General features: G+C 35.4%; 1 annotated feature.

The window, feature by feature from the left end:
* Positions 5,640 to 5,850: a silencer, noted in NCBI's record as "fragment chr6:121925900-121926110 (GRCh37/hg19 assembly coordinates)". NCBI's record gives its function as "represses an EF-1alpha promoter that drives an FKBP-Casp9 reporter gene in an ReSE screen in phorbol 12-myristate 13-acetate-treated (for megakaryocytic differentiation) K562 erythroleukemia cells {active_cell/tissue: K562(+PMA)}" and the evidence as "EXISTENCE:reporter gene assay evidence [ECO:0000049][PMID:32094911]".

Below are 10,112 nucleotides of genomic sequence, written 5' to 3' on the forward strand. Positions count from 1 at the left end.
TCATATTTCATGTTTTTTAAATAAAGAGATTAGTAACTTTAAGTCAGCATGAGATAAACCATGTTCTCATGATAAATATATGATTCTTGCCAAAGGAAGAATCTTCACTAGCCTAAACTACCCCATTGCAAATGTATATGTAATTTCTGAGTCTTTTTAATATACAGAAAATAGCTCCATTAATCCTTACCATTTTGACTTCCTAATGGGGTCTAAAATGTCTCTTTTCTAACACTAACATTCTATTTTGTACTATAGTACTACAGTTACTTTCTTTTCTTTTTTTTTTTTGAGACAGAGTCTTGCTCTGTCACCCAGGCTGGAGTGCAGTGGCTCAATCTCGGCTCAGTGTAATCTCCGTATCCTGAGTTCAAGCAATTATCCTGCCTCAGCCTTCTGAGTAGCTGGAATTACAGGCATATGCCGCCATGCCCAGCTCAGGTATTTTTTGTGAAAATGGGGTTTCACCATGTTGGCCAGGCTGGTCTTAAACTCCTGGCCTCAGGTGATCCACCCGCCTCGGCCTCCCAAAGTGCTGGAATTACAGGCATGAGTCACCACGCCCAGCCTTATTTTGTACTATAGTTTCTTTTTCTTTTGCCTAATTTTAAGTACCAAATCTGATAAGTGATTTAATTTAAATGTAAGTATAGTTACATTGCTACAGTTCTAGGGATTTTGTTAAGTAGATACTTTTCATTTTCTAGTTTTATGTAACAAAATAAGAAAAATTTAATTCTTTCAAAAATAGGAAAACAAACATAATTTACAAGGGTAATTGGACCACAGCACACAGACACATACATACACACACGTGCTGCCACCACCTCCACCACTACACATCTAAAACTATCTTTTGTTAATGGGACTTTCACTGATCTTGTCCTACAGATATGTTTGGATAATATCTCTTGTATAAGGACACCTGTTTTTTGCTTGCTTGTTTTTACAGTGTTTAAAATAAAGGACAGAAAAATAGCATATGAAAACCAATTCAAAACGAAACATAAATGAAGACTTTCTCTTGATTAGGGTACACTGGAAGCTGCCATGCTTGTTCCAACATGGGTAACATGGGAGCACTGAGGCCTCATAACTGGACTCTTGGGAGTGGAGAAATAACCACCAGATCAGGTTAGAAGAAGACAACTAATTATATACAAATCTATGGAAGATAGTGGGAAAGACGAAGAAACAAAGCATGAATAAATGCTTTATAGCTTATGCAAATTTTAAGTGTTTTCTCTGAATAGTTGTTTAGGCCAATAATAGATATTAGTAACTTAAATGCCCTTATAAGCAGAGGACATTTTATATTCAAGGTTCCAATTCATTTTTTAAGTACATTTAAAATGCTAGAGATGTGAATCAAACACATTATCCCATTTTTTGTCCCAAATACTCTAATACATAAACATGTGAATCTGTGTTTGATCTACATGTGGCAAGGGTAAGAGATGGGGATGGTGGAGAAACAGCAGAAACAGCTGTAGGGAGATAATTCTATTAAATTTTGCATTAGCAAACCAGGCTCTATTTCAGAAAATCCTGATAGTAAATATCTTTACCACTGCAAACTTATGTCTCTATTTTTAAGTGACATTTTAAGCATCTAACATCTGTACACTGAGTTTTATTACAAACAGCAACATTTAGACAAATTAAACCTAACTAAAATCAACATTTATATTACCATGTTCAGTTTCAAGAGCAGCAAACAAGTTGGAAGTCCTAATGAGACAATATCTGAGAGCTTATTACATCACTACGCATACATGTGGGCGCAGAGGAAATGGCTGGGACATTTCGATGGTCAAATGTTCGATGTGTTTATACTCAGCCAGATAGTGATTTTCTAACTTCGTATGGATTATAAACAAACAGCAAATAACTCTCTAACGGGGTGCAGTATTTTGTGAAGGTCAGCAGAAAGCTAGCCTTGAATGAAAATGAGGAAAACATGTGTTTTGTATTTAGCAAAGTCACATTAATTAATATTTAAAATAACTACAAATTAACTTCTTATCAACCAGGCCTCCTGAACAAGCAGGGAGTTTGCATTACTGGATAGGGATGGGGGTTTCTGGAGATCTCTGCCAAAATTGGGGCTGGACTGGAACCTGAGGTTCTTAAATTCTCACTAATAGTTTTCAGGAGAGAATCTGGAGTTGAAAGTCCAAGTCGTCATTCCAGCCAAAGGGTCAATCTGGAGAAACTAGGCACAGAAAGAGGAATTAGACATGAGGCAATGATTTAATCAAAGGCACGTAGACTCAACAAAGGGGTTTCTGGCAATATTCTGTGAGATGTAGATGCTGGTGTTCTATAACCTCTGACTACACTGTAGATGATGAAGAAGCTAGTTGTTAAGGTGCCAAGGTGGTTTGTTGTAAACCAGAAGTTGCAAAATGTTATGTTTTGCATATTTGATCCATTTGTTTGATCCATATAGTACTTCTCCAAAAAGTGATTTAAAGAAATTTGCATTAATTGTCAACATTTATCACGAAGATATTTTGTCTGTGTATCTTGACTTACAAATTTTCTGAAAATATTAGAAGATTTAGCATTACCAAACATGCTGGCATGCAGAGTATCCATAACCTTGTGCTGAGTTGCTCCTGCCTCTTGCAATGGACATGCACTCGCCTGTTCCACGAGTCCCCAACAATCCCCACTCTAATAGATGGCAGACTATTACCATCATACTTTTACCTTTTACCATCATACTCGTTTTGTTGTTTTGCTTGCAGCGGAATTAAGACAAATCTGAGATACTTCTTAAATCTGTTCTGTGTTTTTAATTTTTTTTCTTTTTAACTCCCACTCATGACAACATATTCTATTTTTTAAATATAAGATTGAAAAGATTTTTAATTTTATTTGCAGATATGGCATCTTGTTGTGTTTCCCAGGCAGGTCTTGAACCCTGGCCTCAAGCAGTCTTCCCACCTTGGCCTCCCAAAGTGCTGGGATTACAGGTGTGAGTTAACATGCCCAATCTTCATAAACATTTTTAAAGCCTTTTATTAGAAAACATTTCAAACATATAGAAAACGAGATAAAATAGTTCAATAAATCCTCACTTTCCTATTTCACAGATTTAACTAGCATTACTCAAGTCCAGTCTTGTTTTTCTATGCCCCCTCCCTACTACTTTCCAACATACTTTTAAAGCAAATTTTGGGCATCCTATCATTTTGTCTGTAAATACTTGAGCATGTAACAAGAGAGATAGGGACTCTTTTATAAAACCTAACTGCACAGCCATTCATTATCAAACATAAACATTAACAATAAGTATTTAATATCATCAAATACTCAGGGTGCTCAAATTTGCAGTTGTTTTATATATGTATATGTATTACAGTTTGTTTAAATCAGCATTTGTATCTATTTATATATATTTTATAGTTTAAGTCAGGATTAAAATAAAGTCTATACTAGGTAGTTGGTTGATATATCTTTTAAACCTCTTCTAATATATAGCTTCTCACTATTTCTCTCCCCGACCCCTAGCAGCTGTAAATAAACCAGTTTGGTTGTTTTGTGGAATTTTTTACAGTCCAAGATTTGCTGATTACCTCCCCATGGCGTAATTTAGCATGGTCCTCTATCATCTGCATTTCCTGTAAATTGACTTGAAGTTTTTAGAAATAATATTTTATAGGTAGTAGAGTGTCCTCATTAGTATTTTAGTTTGCAAACCTTGGTCTAAACTAATTCTAAATCATCAATATATTGTTCTAATGCAGAAGTATTATACAACAGGGTACAAAATAAATGACCTGAGTTACCTTATAATAAGGGAAAGAAAGCGAGGAAATAATTTATAATTATGAATGGTTTTATTTACACATCTCAGTCTGAACTCCAATTTATAAATAGCAGAATCTTGTAGACATTGTGGATTCACTTGTGAAATAAACCATGTGCATGATGTCCAGGAGTAATTGCTTTATTTACTTTGAATTTCAAAGGATACCTCTTTTGAGATTATCCATGTGGAAACACCCAATGAAATGATTTAAAACTAAAGGGATGATGTATTTACCTGAATTTTTTGATTTCAGGATAGGAAGATGAAATGAAAACTAGCATTTATTGGCTAAAACATGCTAAGATGTTTCAAATGCATTATCTCATTTGATTATTACAATAACTCTCTTAGGTTGTATTATCTCAATTTTTTACTGAAGGAAATACAATTTGTAATTCCAAAAGTTACATAAAAAAACTCCAGACTTTTTCTACTATAACATTTTAAGAAACCAAAAGTAAGAGGGAAAATGCATGGAGGGGAAAAAATGTTTTCTTAGTCATCAAAATGAGTATCACAGAATTTCTGGGTCCATTTTGTGTAAGGAAATCCAACCCAGGAAATTGATTTATTTTTTTTCATTCTTAATAAAATATATTATACCAAGGGAAATATAAATATATTATACCAAGGGAAAGGTTACTATACCATAGTAACCAGGAGAGGCTAGGCATTGCAGCAATAACCAGTTAATCCTGAAATCAGTGGCTTAACCTAAAGGTTTGTTTGTCTCTCACTTCTGCAGGTCGATTGTAGGTCAATAGGAGGAGGGAATGAAAGAGGTCTGTTCCACGTAGTTGCTCAGGGACTAGTCATCTCAGTGATGAGGCCTCTCCACTTGTAGCTTGTCATAGTCTGTTTGCGTTGCTATAACAAAATATCAGAGACGGGATAATTTATAAAGAATAGAAATTTATTTCTTATGGTTCTGGAGGTCAGGAAGTCCAAGATCAAGGGGAGAGCATTCGGTGTCTCGTGAAAGCCTTCTTGCTGAGTCTTCACATAGTAGAAGAGTGGAAGGGCCAGAAAAGGGTCTGGTTTCCTGGAGCCCTTTTACAGTATAGTAATCCCATTTATGAGGGCTCTACCCTCATGTCTTAATCGCCTCCCAAACGTCCCACCTCCTGCTACTATCACATTCGGTCTGAGGTTCCAATATATAAATTTAAATACATTCAAACTATAGCATAGCTACACCTAGAATAAGTGACATTGGAGGTATCTGCAGAAGGGGAAGACAGAACTTACATCCACAATTAAATGTCTAGGACTAGAAATGACACAGATCACATAAGTTTACAGCCCACTGACCAAAATTAGACAAATAGCTTCATCTAACTATAAGGGAGCTAGGAAGTATAATTCTCCATGTGCCCAGGAAGGCAAAGAGATTGGTTATGCTTTTCTTGAGTCAGACTCCCTGGAAACATACTGAGATGAAGATTTGGATGCAGTAAGTGTGTTATAAGGTTTTCTCAGAAACACCTGTAAGGGAATGAAGGAAGCAGGTTTGAAAAGAGGGAGAGATTGAATTGTGCTGCACTTTCAACAGAGGCCAAGGTGATGTTTTAGGGAGCTGGGGATCTGAGATTTCTCTTCAAAGTTGTTCTAAATTAAGAAAAGGTGGCAAAGTCTATGTATTATACCATCTAGTCATTGCATACAGGTTGCCCCTAGCTTCAAGGTTTTTTTTTTTTTTTTTTTTTTTTTTTTTGAGACCAAGTCTTGTTCTGTCACCCAGGCTGGAGTGCAGTGGCCTGATCACGGCTCACTGCAACCTCTGCCTCCCGGGTTCAAGCGATTCTTTTGCCTCAGCCTCCCAAGTAGCTGGGACCACAGGCAAGCGCCACCATGCCTGGCTAATTTTTGTATTTTTAGTAGAGACAGGGTTTCACCATATTGGCCAGGCTGGTCTCAGACTCCTGACCTCATGATCCACCTGCCTCAGCCTCCCAAAGTGCTGGGATTACAGGGGTGAGCCACCGTACCGGGCCCCTAGCTTTAAGTTTAATGAGATTATAATTTGTTATCTGATAGTTACTATCTATAAAGCACATTTAATAGGTTAAATCATATTAATGTTAATACACCAGATCAATCTAATTTACTTCAAGTTGTATTTTTTTTCTTCTCATTTGGTGAGAGATTTGGAAGCTGTAATTATATTTGCTTTAAGTCACTAAGGAATTATAAGATAAAAATTCCTTATTAAAATTTTACCATTGCATATGTTGCAAAAGATAATTTTTATTTTATGAACATTAAGTTTTCAAATAAATAGTTTCATCCTCTAAGGAAAGACTGATAGATCAGTTATTTCTAATCCTAGAAATTCCAACTCAAGACAACCGAGAAATTGTCATCTACATGTGATGTCATTATTTGTCTTTTTGCTTTTACTTCTAAGGCATGCTGTGATATTAGTAATGAGGAGTATATTACCACAGCAGATGTTTAAGAGAGAAAAATGCCGCAGGTCTAGTAAAATATTTCTTAAGGTTTGGAAATTTTTTTTTCTTTTTTGTATTTATTATTTTGTATATAACTATGGAAATGTAAAGAAGAGTAGAAGGCAAGATAAATAGTTTTTTTAAAGTGTGATTCATAGATTCTTATTCCATATTCATGTCCAATAAATTATTTTCTACTCCCAAGAAGAAGCAGAAGAAAATCCTTATTTAAATAGCTTTTTTTTTTTTTTTTTTTTTTTTTCTGAGACAGAGTCTCCCTGTGTCACCCAGGCTGGAGTGCAGTAGTGTGATCTCGGCTGACTGCAACCTCCATCACCCAGGTTCAAAGGATTCTCTTGTCTCAGCCTTCTGAGTAGCCTGGGTTATAGGTACTTGCTGCCATGCCCAGAGAATTTTTGTATTTTTAATACAGACAGGATTTCACCACATTGGCCAGGCTAGTCTCGAACTCCTGACCTCAAGTGATCTGCCCAACTCAGCCTCCCAAAGTGTTGGGATTACAGGCGTGAGCCACCGCGCCCAGTCCAGTATTTTGAAATATATAAAACTTAGGTAACGTTGTGGTTTGGCTGAGAGATTTACTGTGAAATGGCCACAATTTATTACATTGTAGTTCTCTTAGGAAATTATTTTTCTCTTTTACTGTATTTGCTTTATGCAAATGCTTGAATGAGTTTATGAACATGGTCAGCCAATTTACATCAAGATCTGCACTGCCAGTAAGGTAGCCAATGGTCACATGTAGCTATTTTTTTTCTTTTTATAATTTCAACTTTTATTTTAGATTCAGTTACATGTGCATGTGTGTTATATTGTGTGATGCCAAGGTTGGGGATACCAATGGTCCTGTCATCCAGGTAGTGAACATAGTACCTAAAAGGTCATTTTTCAAACCCTTGCCCCCTTCCTTCCCTCCCACCTCTAGTAGTATCCAGTGTCTATTTTTGCCATCTTTATGTCCATGAGTACCTAATGTTTAGCACCCACTTATAAGTGAGAACATGTGGTATTTGGTTTTCTGTTCCCTCATTAATTCACTTAGAATAATGGCCTCCAGCTGCATCCATGTTGCTGCAAAGGACATGATTTCATCATTTTTATGGCTGTGCAGTATTCCATGGTATATATATATATATATATATATATATATATATATATATATATATACTGCACAGCCGTGTGTGTGTGTGTGTGTGTGTGTGTGTGTGTGTGTGTTTCACATTTTCTTTATCCAGTCCACTGTTGATAGGCACCTAGGCTGATTCCATGTCTTTGTTATTGTGAATAGTGCTGCAATGAATGTATGAGTGAAGGTGTCTTTTTGGGAAAATGATTTCATTGCTTTTGCATATATGCCCAGTAATGAGATTGCTGGTCGAATGATGGTTACTTCTGTTTTAAATTCTCTGAGAAATCTTCAAACTACTGTCCACAGTGGCTGAGCTAATTTACATTCTCACCAACAGTGTGTAAGTGTTCCCTTTTCTTTGCAGCCTCACCAGCATCTGTTGTTTTTTGACTTTTTAGTAATAGCCATTCTGACTGGTGTGATATGGTATCTCATCGTGATTTTGGTTTACATTTCTCCAGTGATTAGCTCTTTTTTCTTTGAGACAGGTTATCGCTATGTTGCCCAGGTTGGACTGAAATTCTTGAACTTAAGTGATTCTCCTGCCTTAGCCTGCTGAGTAGCTGGGACTACAGGCAAGCACCACTACGTCTGGCTCATGTGTAGCTGTTTAGCACACATGAAATGTGGTTAGTCTGAATTGCGATATACGTGGAAAATACACTCTAGATTTTGAAGACTTACTATGAAAAAAGGAATATAAAATATCTCATTAATTTTTTATTGATTACATCTTGAAAATGATATATTGGGTTACATAAATTATTAACATTAATTTGACCTGTTTGTTTTCTTTCTTTATGTGTCTATTAGAAAATTTAAAATTATATATGTGACTTGAGTTCATGGCTCTTGTATTTCTATTAGACACTGCAGTCTAGATGCTTTAGTGTTTTCTCTTTTGTTTTCTTTCTTTTTTGCCCACACTCACTCATTCACTCTCTCATACACGCAAACAGCTAGATGCTTTGGATTTTTCTTCAATTCTTTCTTATGAAAGTCTTCAAATAAGTTGAAACAATTTTATGGTGAGCATCTATATATTCTGCAACCAACATTTTATTATACTTGTTTTATCACTTATCTAACCATCTAGCCATTTTTCTATTCATCGAACAATCCATCTTTTTTTTAATGTGTTTCAGTTATGTTGCAGACACCATTATACATTCCTCTAGATACTTCAGCATGTAGACACTTTAGCTTTGGACTCTATTAAAAATTGAAAATCCCTTTAGCCACGTTTCTTCTTCTTTAGATTTGATTGTCTTGGTGTAGAGAGGCATAAACAGACTAAATGTATCAAATTGGGTTTAATAAATCTTCTGAGTAAAAGGAACATTTAATCTCTGTTGACATTAAAGCAAAGATCGAGATTACTCAGCAAAGATTTGGAAATCCTATAACATTAAATACAAATTAGAAGAAAAATACAAAAAAACCTGCTTTCTTCATAGCAAGAAAAGAGGCAGAAGATCCAGTCTGAGTTCCATGCCAACTGTGTGATTATGGGATGGTCATATAACCTCTTTGAACTCCTGCTTTCAATATAATGCTTGTCTCACAAGCATATAGAGATTATAGGAAGCAATGTGTGTAACTGACCTACTGGTGTTTCTGGCAAATACCAACTTTTAAATGTAAACTTAACTGGAAATCAATGCAAAATATTTGCAATATTATCTGGTAGGTGAATCAGAGGATCTTTGGCTATGTAGAAATATCTTTAAAAAGAAAAATGATTATTCTTGTAGAATGTTCGTTGTTTACAAACATACTCAGGAAGACACGTTATGTAATACTCTCAAAAGAAAGGTCTATTTGTCTCCTCTTCGTTTTACTTATAAATCTCTTAAATCACTGACTTCTGCCAACATTTACAGGATTGAACTTCCCAAACAATTTGCACTTGTGCTTGTGCTCAGATTGTAGACTCTAAGAGAAAACATGTTTACTCAATTGTTGGTGATTCACTAACAGATGATGTGCTGGTTTAAAGGCCAGTACAGTCAAGGAATAGAAAATAAAATCTTAGTCAAGGAATAGATAGCTGTGTTTTCTACTTTTTGTGTATAGCTATATTTTCAAACTATTAAATATCCTTTAAAAGTTTTATTATATTTAAAACTTTTTATTTGATCAAGGCAACACATGCACATACTTTTTAAAAAGCTTAACACATAAAACCAGAGGTCCTTTCCCTTTATAGCTCCCTTGCCCTTATTACTGCTGCATAAAGGCAACTATTTTCAACTTTGAAAACAATTTTATAGTGTTTATTTAAATATTTATTTTGCCTTTTTAAAAATAATAATCTACTACTTTTTCTAATTATAGAGACAGAGTCTATCTGTGTTGATCAGAGTGATCCTTGAACTCCTGGCCTCAAGCAATCCTCCTGCCTTGGTCTCCCAAAGCGCTGGGATTATTGGTGTGATCCACTGTGCCTGGCCTACTTACGTATTTCTAAATATTGTACAAGTATTGATGGTTCCTGGTTCATTCAATTTAGTTATTTTATATTCACCTCTTTAAAAGAAGGTAGAGATTTTAGTTCTTTTACATTCCCCTTATCTATCCCCACATCTGCCCAATAGTTAGAACGTAATTTTAAAAATCCTTAGTTAAAGGAGTTGCTATGGTTATGTAATTTTTTTTAAATTGTGAAGCCAAATAGTATAGGTATGAGCTT

Source organism: Homo sapiens, chromosome 6, assembly GCF_000001405.40.
Source record: "Homo sapiens chromosome 6, GRCh38.p14 Primary Assembly".
NCBI classification, from domain to species: Eukaryota; Metazoa; Chordata; class Mammalia; order Primates; family Hominidae; genus Homo; species Homo sapiens.